Below are 18,942 nucleotides of genomic sequence, written 5' to 3'. Positions count from 1 at the left end.
GCTACAGAGGTAACACATTTCCTTGTCAATTGTGTCTTTGACTGTGGCTGCCCTAACACTTTTTGTCATCTATAGACAATTATTATTTTGGTCTGTTCCTCTTTAAATGGTGATTTTATAATCAGCTATACAACTCTAACAGGTGTTCTTAAATGCAGGTTTCTGATAACTTTGGAGATTGTGACATTAGGATAGAGCAAAACTTTCAGAACTCTCATGGAGTGCTGAAATGTTCATGAATATGAAGCAGAACAGAAGTTAACTGCGTGGACTGAACCAATATAAGACTGAAGTAATCCTTTTTGACTTTTTGCTAAAAACATTGCTGATCCTTTTTGTTTTTCAGAGCCAAGTAAACTTTTCTTTTAAGCTATTTACAGCTTTTAACAATTGAGTAAAGTATACTCCTATAAACAAAATTTGGAGCGTATGTATTTCTCTCTAACTGCTTTCTCTAGAATTTGGAAACTATTTGTGAGTATTCTTAACTTATGGCAATATAGTTATTGGCATAAGTGCAATAAGAATGTTTTCTTTTGCAACAGAGCACCATCAGAGAAACTGGTTAGTATACCAAAGCTTGGCTGGAATGGTATGCTTTCCTTTAAGGAATCAAATCTGACTTGTAGAGCCAATACCTACCCCTTGGGAAAACTGGCCTCATACCCTGTCTGTGCAGTCCCTGTACAGGGTTCCTGACCTGTGGTAAGTAAAGAATGTCACTTTCTAACAGGCTCAAAAACCCCGAGTTATCTTGGTATCTCAAGAGGAGAGGAATTTACCCAACTTCTAAGTATTTGAGAGTACAAACCCATGGCTAGGCTCAGCTTTAAAAAAGTCTTCTCTGAGAGTCCTTATGGAACAGAGTTCCATCAAAGCCAACTTTAAAAGCCTATGTGGAAAATAAGTATTCTTGCTGCACTTTATGCAAATAATCAGGTCAAGTATAATAAGACTAAAGTTTATTTTGTAAACACATCTGTCCTATCATGATTTGTTTTTGTGTGTTTTTTGGTTTTTGGTTTTATTTGAGATGGAGTCTCACTCTGTCACCCAGGCTAGAGTGCAGTCACGTGATCTCGGCTCACTGCAACCTCCACCTCCCGGGTTCAAGCGATTCTCCTGCCTCAGCCTGCCAAGTAGCTGGGATTACAGGTGCGTGCCGCCATGCCCGGCTAATTTTTGTATTTTCAGTAGAGATGAGGTTTCGCCATGTTGGCCAGGGTGGTCTCGAATTCCTGACCTAAGGTGATCTGCCCACCTCGGCCTCCCAAAGTGCTAGGATTACAGGCATGAGTCACCCCGCCTTGCCCATGATTTGTTTTTAATAAAAACAGGGACTGGAGAGAGAAAAAGTATGTTTCAAAAAATTATAGTATACCTGTTGTTAGCTGTACTTGAGTTTTTCCAGCAGTTTGGCCTAAATTCTAAATTCTTGGCAGGCTACAAGTTCCCAAACTAATGCTTTCAAATCTTTACTTTTAAAACTGGGAATTGCATTCCTTGTTCTGGTACTCATTATTTACCTTATAGTATGCTGTTTCCTTAAATGTGGTACTAAAACTATAGTTGACAATACTAATGCCTCTATCATGCAAGCCTTGGAATCTCAGCCAGGACTGCATGAGTATGCTTTGACAGTTGCAAAGTGGTTCCACTCCTTTCACCTTGGGGTCAACACCTACCCCCACACGCCCCTGGTCAACAGGAAGAAGTTACAATGGTCTTTGCCCTTTTTCTATCTTCATTAGCCAACACCTTAAGATGAGGTGTTATAAAACCCAAAGGGTTTTTTGGGATTGAAATTGCCATTGCAAAATTATAACTGAGACAGTGAAAGAGATCTGACATAACCAACTCCAAGTTGCTTCTAACCTGCAAGCTGTTCATTCCTGGCTGCAGGCCCGACTAACTTTGGGAGGAACTTGTAGTTTATAGGTTGAAACAAAGATGATAACAGCCCTTTCCCAAAACAAACCCCCTTCTTGCCTGGGGACTAGACTGCTTTTATAGGACTAAGAAATTAGCCACAAAATTAGAAATTATGTTTTAGGAGTCATGTAGCTAGAGGCTACAAAATTCTGACCCTCCCCAAATTGCTCCTGGGGGTAAAAATCACTATTGTAAAGCCTAAGACCAGTGCTTGAGATATTTTGCAGACCCTGCAGTTGATGGATCAGCTGGCACCACCCACATTGATATACTGGCTCATCTGATCCCAATCTGGGAACTGACTCAGTGCAAGAAGACAGCTTCAACTCCCTATGATTTCACCTCTGACCTGACCAATCAGCACTCCTTGGTGGCTTCTCCTCGCCCACCAAGTTGTCCTTAAAAACTCTGATCCCTGAATACTCGGGGAGACTGATACGAGTAATAATAAAACTCCAGTCTCCCACAAAAAAAATAATATGAAATGCTTAAAGGGAAATCTAATTATTTAAGATTATATTCAAACATTAAAGACTCCTTAAAAATGAGTGTTAAAATTTGCTAGACTTAGAATAACAATATTCACAAATTGAATTTAAAAGTATAAGACATAATTAAGCTTTTAAATTTTTATTACCAGAAATCCACACTATCCACTGCAAATCTCTCGAAACACCCTTCCAAGCTTAAAGCAAAAATCTCTCTTCCTTGCCATTAAGGGATATTCTCTTATATTATTTCATGCCTATCCTCTATTCTCTCAATTTTCTCTACCTGGAATGCATATGAAACAGAATATAGAATTTCTGGATATATTCTTCAGGTGTATTAACTTTTCTTTCATACTTTTAATCTATCATTTGCTTGTATTTTGGGAGAATTTCCCAGTTCTCAGCTTTTATTTTTATTGTTCCCATAGCATCCATTGACTCTTGCTGCACCTTATCAATCCACAACCAAGATACAATTAATCAACCTTGATTAATGAGATTCTCTAGAAACGAAACGATGAGGAGTGTACCATAACCAAGCCTCCCATTTCAACAATGAGCTGGAAGTTAGTGCAATCAGAGGTTGCAGATTCCCAAGCAAAGGAGATTGGAGAATTACAGAAATCACTAAGGAGTTGGTATCACATCAACAGCCAAAGTTGATATTGCTTAATAATCTGTCCCCACCCTTCACTTTCCTATTATACAGCCACAGAGGCTTTCCATCCACAGGGTTCTGTCTGCTTTATAAAATGTCCTTGAGTCTTTCCTACATTAACACCTGCACTAGAAATCAAACATTGATTTATGTAAAGGTTTTCTCCACTTTGGTTATGACAAATGAAGCATAGGATACTCAAAGTTTGGCAAAAGCTCAGGAATTGAGATCCTAGGTTTTTGGAAGAATGGAGACAAAATACAAATATAAAGTAAGGGAGTAAACCTCCATCCCCATCCCTTCTTTGATAAGGTTTTCCTTTCAGAGCTAAAGGCTCTGGAAATATATAAACACTATAATGCCTGATAATGATAGAGAGGGATGGGCAGAAGTTCAGGGGCTATTTTCCCTCGGGTGGTTAGTGGAGCACCTCTAGGAAAGGACCACTCTCAGGAAGGTGGTGCTTTCCCCCACCTGTCTTAGCCTGTTGCGTTGCAATAAAGGAATACATGCGGCTGGGTAATTTATAATAAAAGAGGTTTATTTGGCTCACTGTTCAGCAGGCTGTATAAGAAGCATGGCACCAGCATCAGCTTCTGGTGAGGGGCTCAAGCTGCTTCCACTCACAGCGGAAGGGGAAGGGGGGCTGGCGTGTGCAGAGATCACATGGTGAGAAAGGAAGCAAGAGAGGGAAGGGAGGTGCCTGGCCCTTTTCAACACCAGCTTTCAGGAAAACTCTCTGGGGAACTGATAGAGTGCAAACTAATGAGGATGGCACCATGCCGTTCATGAGGGATCCACCCTTATGACCTAAACCCCTCCCACTAGGCCCCACCTCAAACATTGATGACCAAATTTCAACATGAGACTTGAAGGGGACAAACAAATCGTATGTAAACCATAGCAGCACCCCACCATTCTTTATACTCCTTCCCAGCTTTATTTTTCTTCATATAACTTATTATTGCCTCAAACTGTAGAACTTATTTGTTGACTTTGTTATTGACTGTATGTTCCATGGGAATGTAAGCTTGATGAAGACTGGGACTTTGGCTTAAGTACTGCTGTAGAATACCACTGTATTCCTAGTTTATTGAACACTGCTTGGCACATGGTAACTGCTTAATAAACATTCATTGGATGATTGATTCCATTGGTACACACGGGTTAAGTATAGCCTGAAACTAATTTTTCTCATCCCATGATCTAGAGTTGAAAACTTTTTATATTTTTATTATAAAATATTTTTCATGGTTTCAGAACATTTACTGAAACATACTTTTTTATAAATCAAAACCTTTAAAAATTGTACTTATTGATCTAAGATTTCCTAGCACAAGAAAATATGACTGTCTCATTTTTGGCTCAAGTTCACAGTTTGTTAATTTTTCACATCATTCCATAAAAATGTTAGTCACAAATTACAAACCCAATAATGTAACCATAAAGTTGTCATGATAGTGTTCCAATGTATTGCTCATTTCAGGAACTAGAGGCAGATAGCCCTAGAGTTTAGACTTAGACCTGAACCAAATATTCCTCCTTTGAGAACTTGCTGAGTTGATTTTACTTGTAATCTGTGTGCAGACTAGAGGAGTGGAAATTTCTGCTCTCTCACAAAGACTGTAGACTATTTGCACTTATCAGTTTTCAAAATTCCAGGCTTAATCTGGTTCATGCTAATTATTCCCAGTGTTTCTGCTCAGGCCTATATACCAGTGATGCCAGCTTCATGTAACTGCTGCTGATCGCTCACTCACTCACTCCTTTGAAACCCAAACTTGTCAAAATCATAGAATTTTGTGGGTCTAGCAAACAGCCCCGAGAGATAAGACATATATGGGACAGAATGCCATGACCCCCAAGGACTGTGGCATGTGGGCATTTTCATATGCCAGAAACGTCCTAAGGTTCATGGCATTATTCAAGATAAACCTTTAGGCACTCACACCTGCTCTTTTCAAACTTATGTGACAAAATGAATGTGTCCAGTTCTGGGGCCTGAAGAATCTACTCACCTGACTCTTCAATGTCACTGTGACACATATGAGACTAGGCAGCCTTCTAGACTTGCCAGTGCTTCTGGAAAGCTAGGGAGCCTTCAGGACTTAGTTGACCACATTTCAGCTCTAGCTGTGCACAGGGCTGCCTCCTTTCCTCCAGGTTTGGGTCATCCCTCAAGGATTCGTGCAATCCTCCTTCCTTTTCTCTCATAGAAAATACTGGTCTTTGTGACTAACATTGTACTAAATTATTAGGTTGACATTGAAGAAAAGACATTGCTTTGCAATGGCAATAACCACAACTACTTTTGCACCAACCTAATAGCTTTCCATATGCTTCCATTTCTAGATTCTTAAAATGTGACAACCAGAAGAGCCCCATGGTTCATTCAATTCAATTCCTTACTTTAGAGAGAAGGACATGGTGATTGCCAGAGACCTAAAGCTGGTTAATGGTAGAGCCAGAATCAGAAACAAGATTTCTTGACTCTCCACTGGGGGGCTACTTAGGGCACAGACTAGGTAAGAGTTCTGACTTTTTACCCAAGCATTCCATAAAAGGCTTTTCCTGGTTTTAACCTTTCACTTACTGTAACAGAGGGGATGCTGTGGTGGCCATGCTATGGTGTGTGATGACTTTTTACTCTTATGGACAACACCCCAGTTCTCCTTTCCCAGTCTCTCGTGGCTTTGCAACCATGTGTCCTAAGGATCATCCCTTTTATCTTCTCTGAAAGATCACACACCCTAGGAAGACTTCTGGCCTACTATTCCCTGTGGAGAACTCAGGTACTATAGAGATGTCTCACAAAAAAGAATTTCTGTGTCCTGCAGCTTCTTCTGCATGATAAAAAGGAGGAGTGTAGCTAAATAACAAAAACAAAGATTTCAGGTGTCTGCACCAAAATACATACATTCATTTATTTCTCATTGCAGCAACAAGATAAACAAGTATAATTCCATGGTCAAGGAGTTACAAATAGTAGCAAGCCCAGTAACCTTGAGCATATCTATAAGGCAAATAAAACAAATATTTCTTTCATAGTGTGGGCATCCAACTTTAGATAATCTGGAAAAAAATCACTCTAGCCCCTGAATACCATGATGTGCATGATGTGCAAAATGAAAGTATCACCCAAAATATTTTCAAAGCTAAAAAGAAAATATTTAAATTCAAATACTTTAACCAAATTGGAAATGCAAACAGTACACTTAGAGTCATCCTTAGCCAGCTGTTCTCCAAACAAAAGATCGAGAAACAAAACCAAGAACAATGTAAAAAAGAAAAGGTTTATCTAGAAAAACTGGAAGCTCATCAAAGTCACATTTCTTCTTCTGATTCTTGTTCTCGTTCAGCATTTTTCAGAAGTCCAACTTCTGAGGAGCAGAGCCTCTTAAGTCTAGATTTAACCAACCTGAGGAGAAAGAAAAGCATCTCAAGTTAGACGGTTTTTAAAATAGAAACCCAGAGCAATATGCACCCATTATACCACAAAGTCTAGATTATTTGGGCAACTGGGGAAGGCAACCCAAAAAGGAAAATTACTTTTATTTGGCTTTGGAGCTGCCTGAAAATTTTTGTGGATTAAAGCAGGGTATAAGTAAACAGATACAACGTGGTTTTCCAATGTATTGCATCATTGTTTAATTAGGCCTCAGAAGATAACTTTGCTCATTTCTTTTTCTTTTTCTTTTTCTTTTCTTTTCTATTTTTTTTTATGAGACAGAGTCTTGCTCTGTCACCCAGGCTGGAGTGCAGTGGCGCAATCTTGGCTCACTGCAACCTCCACCTCCCAGGTTCAAGCAATCCTCCTGCCTCAGCCTCCTGAGTAGCTGGAATTAGAGGCATGTATCATCACACCCAGCTAATTATTATTTTTTTTTAAACGGAGTTTTGCTGTGTCATCCAGGCTGGAGGCTGGAGTGCAGTGGCACAATCTCAGCTCACTGCAACCTCTGCTTCCCGGGTTCAAGCAATTCTCTGCCTCAGCCTCCTGAGTAGCTGGAATTACAGACGCCCACCACCACGCCCAGCTAATTTTTTTGTATTTTTAATAGAGATGGGGTTTCACCATCTTGGCCAGGCTGATCTTGAACTCCTGACCTCGTGATCCACCTGCCTCGGCCTCCCAAAGTGCTGGGATTACAGGCGTGAGCCACTGTGCCCAGCCAATTTTTTTTATATTTTTAGTAGACAAGGGGTTTCTCCATGTTGGTCAGGATGGTCTCGAACTCCTGAACTCAAGTGATCTGACCGCCTCAGCCTCCCAAAGTGCTCCGATTATAGGCATGAGCCACCGTGCCCAGCCAACTTTGATCATTTCTAAAACAATTAAGAGAATCGCTGGGCTGTGGCAAGCCCAGATGAAACCAAGCTCAGTTGAGTTTCTCCATAAAAGCCACATCTAACTGTGTATTGCAAACAGGTGCTATATCATATAAAGGAAGTGCATGAAGCCCGCCTCTAGGGTTGGCAGCCCAAGTCAAGGCCCACGTCAAGTCTGGGCTAAATTCAGCCCCTACTTCCTGCTACTAGCCCCTTCCAGGGGGAGCTTTTGTGCAGGGAACAAGCTGTTCAACTGCATGTGATGCCTCTGCCATGATGAATTAAGAAGCTCAAAGAAGTACCCTCCATCCTGGTGACTGTTTTCATAGTTTAAGAGAATCTGGGCTGGGCATGGTGGCTCATGCCTATAATCCCAGCACTGTGGGAGGCAAGGCGGGCAGATCGCCTGTGGTCAAGAGTTCAAGACCAGACTGGCCAACATGGCAAAACTCCGTCTCTACTAAAAATACAAAATTAGCTGGCCATGGTGGCACATGCCTGTAATCCCAGCTACTCAGGAGGCTGAGGCAAGAGAATCTCCTGAGTCCAGGCGGTGGAGGTTGCAGTGAGCTGAGATCACGCCACTGCACTCCAGCCTGGGCGACAGAGCAAGTCTCCATCTCAAAAAAAAAAAAAAAAAAAAAAAAAAAGAGAATCCATAGGCCTGGGGGAAGCACGGATTATAATTTTTGACACTAGAAGATGTGACACTGATTAGCAGCTGAAGCTCAGCAGGCTCTCCACTTCTCTGATGTGAGAAAGAGTGTCATAAGAACTAGGCAAAGCTTTTCCTGTGCATCATTATTATAAAGGCATTGTGCTGTGACCATATCAACAAAGCATAGTTAACTCCCAGAAATACATAGGAATATGCAAACAAATTTGATAAGCCAAATCACCAATATCACTCTTCACAAATGAAAAATTTCACCAGTCTACCTGCATCTTTACCCTTATTTTCTGCTATATTTTTTCTGATGAAAGTCTGGCCTGCCTGTATCAATATGTAATGGCTTTACTTGTGCTCTGAGAGGGGTTTTTGAAATACTTCTGTGGAACTAACTTAAGCTATTGCTTAAGTTTATATCAAAATATATCAGAAAATTTAACCCTTGGTCTTATCTTTTCAAGAACAATATGACAGTAAAATTGAAAAGTATATAAAACATGATTTCAAAACAAATGAAGCCTATATTTAAAGAGCTCTGCAACATAAATCTATTATCTATTAAAACAGCAAACAAGGGTTTATTGAGAATCTACTATATGTTTGGCAGTGTGCCAAGAGGTGTGGGAAATATGGAAAGGGTCTCATACTCAAGGAGACACAATCTAGCCAGTAGATAACACTAACCCACATGACCTAATAGTGAACATCACAGGAGAGATCCCAATTGTTAAAATGCATGGTGAAGACGACGGGCTGTAAAAATTCTTGGAGGGACCTCTGGTAGAATTCGGCTGTGAATCCATCTGGTCCTGGACTTTTTTTGGTTGGTAAGCTATTGATTATTGCCTCAATTTCAGAGCCTGTTATTGGTCTATTCAGAGATTCAACTTCTTCCTGGTTTAGTCTTGGGAGGATGTATGTGTCGAGGAATTTATCCATTTCTTCAGGATTTTCTAGTTTATTTGCATACAGGTGTTTATAGTACTCTCTGATGGTAGTTTGTATTTCTGTGGGATCGGTGGTGACATCCCCTTTATCATTTTTTATTGCGTCTATTTGATTCTTCTCTCTTTTCTTCTTTATTAGTCTTGCTAGCAGTCTATCAATTTTGTTGATGTTTTCAAAAAACCAGCTCCTGGATTCATTAATTTTTTGAAAGGTTTTTTGTACCATTCCTTCTGAAACTATTCCAATCAATAGAAAAAGAGGGAATCCTCCCTAACTCATTTCATGAGGCCAGCATCATCCTGATACCAAAGGCTGGCAGAGACATAACCAAAAAAGAAAATTTTAGACCAATATCCTTGATGAACATGGATGCAAAAATCCTCAATAAAATACTGGCAAACCGAATCCAGCAGCACATCAAAAAGCTTATCCACCATGATCAAGTGGGCTTCATCCCTGGGATGCAAGGCTGGTTCAACATACACAAATCAATAAATGTAATCCAGCATATAACAGAACCAACGACAAAAACCACATGATTATCTCAATAGATGCAGAAAAGGCCTTTGACAAAATTCAACAACCCTTCATGCTAAAAACTCTCAATAAATTAGGTATTGATGGGACGTATCTCAAAATAATAAAAGCTATCTATGAAACCCATAGCCAATATCATACTGAATGGGCAAAAACTGGAAGCATTCCCTTTGAAAACTGGCACAAGACAGGGATGCCCTCTCTCACCACTCCTATTCAACATAGTGTTGGAAGTTCTGGCCAGGGCAATCAGGCAGGAGAAGGAAATAAAGGGTATTCAATTAGGAAAACAGGAGGTCAAATTGTCCCTGTTTGCAGATGACGTGATTGTATATCTAGAAAACCCCATCAGCTCAGCCCAAAAGCTCCTTAAGCTGATAAGCAACTTCAGCAAAGTCTCAGGATACAAAATCAATGTACAAAAATCGCAAGCATTCTTATACACCAATAACAGACAAACAGAGAGCCAAATCATGAATTAACTCCCATTCACAATTGCTTCAAAGAGAATAAAATACCTAGGAATCCAACTTACAAGGGATGTGAAGGACCTCTTCAAGGAGAACTACAAACCACTGCTCAAGGAAATAAAAGAGGATACAAACAAATGGAAGAACATTCCATGCTCATGGGTAGGAAGAATCAATATCGTGAAAATGGCCATACTGCCCAAGGTAATTTATAGATTCAATGCCATCCCCATCAAGCTACCAATGACTTTCTTCACAGAATTGGAAAAAACTGCTTTAAAGTTCATATGGAACCAAAAAAGAGCCCGCATCGCCAAGTCAATCCTAAGCCAAAAGAACAAAGCTGGAGGCATCATGCTACCTGACTTCAAACTATACTACAAGGCTACAGTCACCAAAACAGCATGGTACTGGTACCAAAACAGAGATATAGACCAATGGAACAGAACAGAGCCCTCAGAAATAATGCCACATATCTACAACTATCTGATCTTTGACAAACCTGAGAAAAACAAGCAATGGGGAAAGGATTCCCTATTTAATAAATGGTGCTGGGAAAACTGGCTAGCCATATGTAGAAAGCTGAAACTGGATCCCTTCCTTACACCTTATACAAAAATTAATTCAAGATGGATTAAAGACTTACATGTTAGACCTAAAACCATAAAAACCCTAGAAGAAAACCTAGGCAATACCATTCAGGACATAGGCATGGGCAAGGACTTCATGTCGAAAACACCAAAAGCAATGGCAACAAAAGACAAAATTGACAAATGGGATCTAATTAAACTAAAGAGCTTCTGCACAGCAAAAGAAACTACCATGAGAGTGAACAGGCAACCTACAGAATGGGAGAAAATTTTCACAACCTACTCATCTGACAAAGGGCTAGTATCCAGAATCTACAATGAACTCAAACAAATTTACAAGAAAAAAACAAACAACCCCATCAAAAAGTGGGCGAAGGATATGAACAGACACTTCTCAAAAGAAGACATTTATGTAGCCAAAAAACACATGAAAAAATGCTCACCATCACTGGCCATCAGAGAAATGCAAATCAAAACCACAATGAGATACCATCTCACACCAGTTAGAATGGCGATCATTAAAAAGTCAGGAAACAACAGGTGCTGGAGAGGTTGTGGAGAAATAGGAACACTTTTACACTGTTGGTGGGACTGTAAACTAGTTCAACCATTGTGGAAGTCAGTGTGGCGATTCCTCAGGGATCTAGAACTAGAAATACCATTTGATCCAGCCATCCCATTACTGGGTATATACCCAAAGGATTATAAATCATGCTGCTATAAAGACACATGCACATGTATGTTTACTGTGGCACTATTCACAATAGCAAAGACTTGGAACCAACCTAAATGTCCAACAACGATAGATTGGATTAAGAAAATGTGGCACATATACACCATGGAATACTATGCAGCCATAAAAAATGATGAGTTCATGTCCTTTGTAGGGACATGGATGAAACTGGAAACCATCATTCTCAGCAAACTATCGCAAGAACAAAAAACCAAACACCGCATATTCTCACTCATAGGTGGGAATTGAACAATGAGAACACATGGACACAAGAAGGGGAACATCACACACCGGGGACTGTTGTGGGGTGTCGATAGGGGGGAGGGATAGCATTAGGAGATATACCTAACACTAAATGATGAGTTAACGGGTGCAGCACACCAACATGGCACATGTATACATATGTAACAAACCTGCATGTTGTGCACATGTACCCTAAAACTTAAAGTATAATAATAATAAAATTTTTAAAAAAAGAATATTGCTTATCATACAAAAACTTCATTCTTGTTTTCTAAGAGGTAAACAAATCAGTTTAAATTGTATCGAATGTTTCTTAAGTAGCTATTAAGATCACCTTATGGTGTTTCTTAATCATAAGAAACTGGACCTATCATTAGGGTGCATTTAATTAATAAATTTTTCAATATTAAATCATCTTTATATATGTGCAGTAAACAATACTTGTTGGCAAAAAAAATTAAAAAAAAGAATCAAGGACTCTACTAGAAAAAATATGTACTCACGTGGACATTTAGGCATATCTACAGCTTCCATCATGTTTTGATAATGTGAATGTATATTGGACGGCTGCTGTCCATGTTCACTGGTTACATTAAGACTGTGGGAGTAATGATTGTGGAGGGAAGGTCTATCTTAAAATATTTGTGGAAGATGGAGCTCTAATGATATGGAGAACAGATAAAGCATTTGCAGATTTGACCTAACACCAAGAAAGAGTGTAAGAAGTTTTAGAAGGTGATAGACCAAAGATAGTTTTATGCAATAATAGAACATTTTGTAAACCGCATAGTTGCTACATTTTACCCATATGTTTTTCATAATAAAATCTTTTGTGGTGTATTTGAAAAAAAAAACAAAAACTCTTAAAGGGAGATGAGCAAGAGCTAGAGTCACCACAGAAGTTTTCATAGAAAAGACGTGCATTTAATGTGAATATGCCAGGTGGAGGGAACTGCATGGTCACAAAGATTAGGATATTATGTGTTGGGGGTAGAGGGGAAGGTTGGAAAATAAAAAATGGAGTGTCCAGTATCCAGAGTACTATAAGTGGATAAGAGGCCCATTAGGGGTATGAAGCGTTTTGAAACAGGAAGAGACAGTAGTCTTCTTTTGGCTCTGGAGGGGAGCTGACATGAGGAAGAGCATTTCCTTGGATGCTGGCACTGATCTTGAAGGCTTTCCAGCCCCTAAGGAGATGAGGCCCAGAAGTCAGCCTAGAACAACAGGGAGAAGCCAAGTTTCACTCAATGGCAGAGCCAGTCTTGACAAGGAGCACATGCACATGCTTTGGAGGAAGTGAATGGGGCTAATAGAATGAGAAGGTGGAATTTCCTAGTACCCAAAGCACCTAGAACTCTAGAAGGAAGCAACTATAGATCAAAGTGGGCTGACCTGCAGCTGAACAGAGATAGCTGAGAGCTAGACAAAGGAATGATTTCTTCACCCGGTGCCTCAGCACCAGAGCTGCTTCAGCAATGAGGCACAAAGAAGCACAGAGCAGGAGGGGTGACTTGGGGTCCATGTCTAAAGAGAAGGGTGGAAAGTTTGTTCTAGCTGGGACCTCACTGGGCCTAGCAGTAGCTACTGCAATTTAGGAATCAGAGAACCTGCTAGATGTGTAGTGTCCAATACAGTAGCCACTATCCACACATATATGGATATTTAAATTAATAAAATTAGTGTGGCATGAGCCACATTTTAAGTGCTCAATAGCTAGTGACTACCATATTAGACATTGTAGATACAGAACATTTCAATCAGCACTGAAGTCTGAAGGATTAGGTGCTGGAGTCTTCATGCCTGGTCATTGAAATCAGCCAAGCCAACTGTGGTTCAGCATTAACCACCTTAGAGAAAGGAACTGTGATCACCCCTTTCTATTCCTGCTCATCCTTCAAGCTGCAGCTTCATTCTCAATTGTAAAGAGGCCTCCCCTGAACTCCAAGAGTGCTTTGTTCTTCTACTATTTCTGTATATTGCACTGTATTTTCATTGTGCATCTCCCTAATTTAGTCCTAATTATAAGACTAAAAATTCCTCATGGGTAGGATTCATATCACATTCATTTTTTTTATGCCAAAGAGGAATAAGGAAGAGGAGAGGGAGGAAAAGAATAACAAGAGGAAGAACAACAAGACAATAATATTTATTGAGCTCTTATTATGTCCTAAGCTTAAATACTTGATCTCATTTAGGTCTTATTATTTCCCCATTTTACAAACAACAAAACTAGTACTTAATGTGGTTAAGTAATTGGCCCAAAGTCATACTGCTGATAAATAGTGCAGCTAAAAATATGTGTTCTTATAACTCTGTTCTACTGCTCCTTACCCACCTATGGAACATTATACTGGGGTTCTTATAAAAAATGTATTCAACTGGATCTGACTTTTAGAAATATTAGTCAATGTCAAATTAGGCAGACACCTACATTTAATGGAACACACACAAGTTGGTCAAAAAAGGACTCGAAGCTTAAGAAGTGCTATAATTGAAGTATCTACACATGGGTAAATGGAGGACTCACTATAGGCAGTGCAGGGTGAGGGAAACCATTCAGAAGAGAGAAGAGGAAATAGCATATGTGGAGACATGGAGGCACAGAGGAGTGTGATGAAGGGAAATGTGAGCATCAGAGGCACAGCTGAGGCACTGTTGAGTGACTAACTTTAAACCAGCATTTATTCTTTTTACTGGGAATTTTTGTGTTTGCAGATAATGTTCTGCTATGCTACCCTGTCTTATGGGATGATAAGGAATGAAATACCCTTTTGAATTTTAAATTCAATACCACTGAGTCTTGATAATCACATACCAAGGAACAGAACTTCCATTAACAGAAATCGCTAACTTACCAGGTAATGAAAGCATAATTCATTCCAACGATGACAATGGTTACTGCATAATGCCAACAAAAGCATATGGTGAGAAACAAAATATTTTCATGATCCATCAGATCCCATGCAGGACCTCCACTGGGGGGATACAGGACAAATCCAATCTGTAATTTAGAACAAAAAGCATATATTAAAATAACCAATCACATTCCCAAAAATGGTACATTTCAAAATACTTGCTTCCGAGGTAAATAACTAAGTTAACTCCAATTATCTAAGATGTAACAGATAAAACATCAGGTTTTGCTGCCTGTTTTAGTAATATAGAGAGTCTCTAATATGTCATATTTTCATAAAAGTTTTAAAAGGACATTTAATGATCAGTTTTCAAAATATAAACAGTCATCTTGCTAGGAATGTCTGGACTTTAAGAGAATGTCTTGGGTTTCTACATTGTGCAGTTTCACTCTGTTATTTCAAAATTGGAGTACAAAAAGGTTTTAAAATAAATAAATGCCCACAGTTAACATTATATTTAATGGTAAAAGACTGAAATCTTTCCCCCTAATATCAGGAACGAGACATGGATGTCTGCTTTCACACTTCTATTGAATGTTGTACTGAAAATCTTAGCTAGAGCAATTAAGTTAAGATTTAGCTAGAGTAATTAAGCCGTTAAGAAAAATAAAAGGCATCCATACTGGAAAGAAAGAGGCAAAAATATCTACATTCACAGATGACATGATCTTATATATAGAAATTCCTTTAAAAATCCATTAGAAAACTATTAGGGCTAATAAATGAGTTCAGCATAATAGCAGGATACAAAATCAATATACAAAACAGTTGTATTTCTGTACAAAAGCAATGAACTCAAAAATAAAATTAAGAAAACAGTTCTGGCCAGGCGTGGTGGCTCACGCCTGTAATCTCAGCACTTTGGGAGGCCGAGGTGGGTGGATCATGAGGTCAGGAGATCGAGACCATCCTGGCTAACACGGTGAAACCCCATCTCTACTAAACATACAAAAAAATTAGCCAGGCATGGTGGCAGGCACCTGTAGTCCCAGCTACTCGGGAGGCTGAGGCAGGAGAATGGCGTGAACCCAGGAGGCGGAGCTTGCAGTGAGCCGAGATTGTGCCACTGCTCTCCAGCCTGGGCGACAGAGCAAGTCTCCGTCTCAAAAAAAAGAAAAAGAAAAAGAAGACAGTTCCATCTACAATAGCATTAAAAAGAATAAAATACTTTAAGAATAAATTTAATCAAGGAGGTTTAAGACTTGTACACCAAAATCTGCATAACATTGTTGAAAGAAATCAAAGATCTAAATAAATGGAAAGCTATCTCATAGTCATAGACTGGAAGCTTAATACTGTTGAGCTGGCAATACCACCCAAAGCAATCTACAGATTCAATGCAATTGCCATCAAAATTCCAATGTTCTTTTTTTTTTTTTTTTTTTTTTTGCAGAAATGGTAAAAGCTGATCCTGTAACTCATATGGAATTGCAAGGGATCCAGAATAACCAAAACAACCTTAAAAAAGAAAGCTGGAGGACTTCAATACTACAGAGCTACAGTAATCAAAACAACAGTGTGATACTGGCATAATGATAAACATTTAGATCAATGAAATAAAATTGAGAGTCCAGAAATAAACTCATATGTCTGAGGTCAATTGGTTTTTGACAAGGGTGCCAAAGCCATTCAATGGGGAAAGAACAGTCTTCAACAAATGGTGCTGAGATAACCGGGTATTCACATGAAAAAAAATGAATTTGGACCCCTACCTCATATATAAAATTAACTCATGTATAAAATTATATATATATAAAATGAACTCAAAATGGATTAAAGACCTAAATATGAGAGCTAAAACCACAAAATTCCTAAAAGAAAATAGGGAGAAATCTTCATCACTTGAAATTTGTTGATTTTTTTTAAGCTACGACACCAAAAGCACCATCAACCAAAGAAGAAAACAGATAAATTGGACTTCATCAAAATTAACTTTTGTGCTTCAAAGGACACTATTAAGAAAATGAAAAGACAACTCACAGCATGAGAGAAAATATTTGCAAATCATATATCCGATGAGATTATATCTAGAATATAAAAAGAATTCCTAAAACTTAACAACAACAAAAAATTTTAATGGGCAAAGGACTTCAAGAAACATTTCCCCAAAGCAAATATACAAATGGTCAATAAGCACATGAAAAGATTATGGATATCATTGTTCATCAGGGGAATGCAAATCAAAACCACAATGAGATACCATTTTTTATTCATTAGGCTGGCAATAATAACAATAAAAATAACAAATATTGGTGAGGATATGGAGAAATTGAAATCCTTATATATTGCTGATGGGAATGTAAAATGGATAATCTTGATTATCTGGATAATGAAGATAATAATACATGAAAATGAGGATAATAATATATCCTCAAAAAGGGCCATTGCAAGGAAAGGCCTAAGCACTGTAACTGACACATAGCCAATAAATGGTAGACATTTGTAGGAGTATCCATGATATTATCTTGGTTTTGAATTTCATTTAGTTCTAGAAACCTGAAATACATTCATCCATTTATCTATCTATCTAATTTTTTATTGGGATAAAATTCTGCAGCTACTGTGGCAACCGTTTTGCAATTCCTCAGGAAGTTAAATATAGAATTCCATATGACCTGGCAATTTCACTTCTACCCAAAAGAACTAAAAATAGGTATTCAAACAAAACTTGTACATGAGTGTTCATAGTAGAACTATTAATAATAGTCAAAAGATGAAAACAACCCAAATATTCAAAAACTGATATGGATAAGCAAAATGCAGTATACTCATACAAGGGACTATCAATCGACCATAAAAGGAATGAAGTACATGCAACAACATGGATGAAACTTGAAAACATTTATACTAAGTAAAAGAAGCCAGACACAAAAGTTCACATATATTATGATTCTGATTACATAAAATATCTAGACTAGACAAATATTCATAGAGACAGAAAGCAGACCAGTGGTACCGGGGGCTAGGAGGAGAGACGGGAGAGTGACTATTTTATGGGCCCAAGGTTTCCTTTCGGGGTGATGAAAATGTTTTGGAACAGATAGAGCTGATGGGGGCACAACATTGTGAATATACTAAATGCCACTAAATTGTACACTTTAAAAATATTAATGTTATGTTAGGAAAGTTTTATCCCAATAAACAATAAGTAGATAGAGAGATAATAGATAACTGGATGAATGTATTGCAGGTTTCTGGAACTAAATGAAATTCAAAACCAGGATAATATAATGAATAATCCTACAAATGTCTACCATGTATTGGCTATGTGTCAGTTACAGTGTTTAGGTGTCTCCTTGCAATGGCCCTTTTCAAGGATGTATTATTACCCTCATTTTAATGTATTATTATCCTTATTATCTCGATAATAAAATCGGGTGATTTAGTGATTTGCCCATGATTACACGTCTAATAAATGAAAGGTTACAAGAAAAAAAAACACTTCATGTGCAATATTGAATAAAACATTAATTCCATTTCTGTTTGAAATTTCAAATAATTAGAGTAAGTCGGGGAAAACTAAGATTTGTGCCTTAATCACTTGTTCCCATTTCAGGATTCCCTTTAATTGGAAAGAAAACTTCCATTTCTACTGTCTGACAGATGGCGGTACCACCACGTGCTTGTCACGTAATCCTCACTCATGTACATAAACGGTAATCCTCACTCATGTACATAAACATCACAATAATTCTTAGCCCTTGAAACAACCTCAAGAAGAAGACATCGTCATCCTCGTATGTCGTAGGAAAAGATTGGAACTCAAGGACTTCAACAACTTCCCCTAGTATTACAAAATGGCTGAACGACTATGGTAGGGATCCAGACCAGTAGTTTCTGGCTCCAAAAACTCCATGTTCTTTCTCCCACCCATACTCTTTTCACCATACAGCCTTTCCATATGGGGCAATACGAAGGACAGTGACCTGGATAACAAGATCAGTTTGAGACATCTCAGCAGTTCTGATATGGTTTGAATAATCAGTACTGAGATGGAAGGTGGTCCCACGAGGACATGGCACTATATTACCATTAAAACCAGATGACAGACTGTTGCCCTTGAGCCACATCTCTAATTCCCAGACATGCTTTGTCTGGCCTGCACATTTAAAACAATAATTTGCGGCCAGGTGTGGTGGCTCACGCCTGTAATCCCAGCACTTTGGGAGGCCAAGGCAGGTGGATCAGCTGAAGTCAAGAGTTTGAGACCAGCCTGGGCAACATGGTGAAACCCCATCTCTACTAAGAACACAAAAAATTAGCTAGGCCTGGTGGCATGTGCCTATAATCCCAGCTCTTGGGAGACTGAGGCAGGAGAATCGCTTGAACCCGGGAGGTGGAGGTGGCAGTGAGCTGAGATTGTGCCACTGCACTCCTGGCCCACAGCCTGGGCCACAGAGTGAGACTCTGTCTCAAAGGAAAAAAA

At 38.9% G+C, this 18,942-nt stretch overlaps 1 protein-coding gene across 12 annotated transcripts in view; it reads right to left on the bottom strand.

Moving 5' to 3' along the window:
* Positions 1–5,979: 5,979 nt before the first annotated feature.
* The window catches only part of TMEM45A (transmembrane protein 45A), an 84,826-nt gene continuing 71,863 nt past the window's right edge, over positions 5,980–18,942 (bottom strand). For 7 of the 12 annotated variants that reach the window (XM_047448418.1, XM_047448419.1, XM_047448420.1 and 4 more), the window contains 2 exons: positions 14,457–14,602; positions 12,504–12,815 (listed from right to left, as the gene is read on the bottom strand). In XM_047448418.1, the coding sequence (XP_047304374.1) occupies positions 12,665–12,815; positions 14,457–14,602 (297 nt within the window). In that variant the 3' untranslated portion in view covers positions 12,504–12,664. Of the gene's footprint in view, positions 6,500–12,503; positions 12,816–14,456; positions 14,603–18,942 lie in introns of those variants that run through there. The other 5 variants (XM_047448425.1, XM_047448427.1, NM_001363876.2 and 2 more) reach the window with 1 other exon arrangement.

Source organism: Homo sapiens, chromosome 3 (genome assembly GCF_000001405.40).
Source record: "Homo sapiens chromosome 3, GRCh38.p14 Primary Assembly".
In the NCBI taxonomy this organism is placed as follows: domain Eukaryota; kingdom Metazoa; phylum Chordata; class Mammalia; order Primates; family Hominidae; genus Homo; species Homo sapiens.
This window is presented reverse-complemented; position numbering and strand designations above follow the sequence as displayed.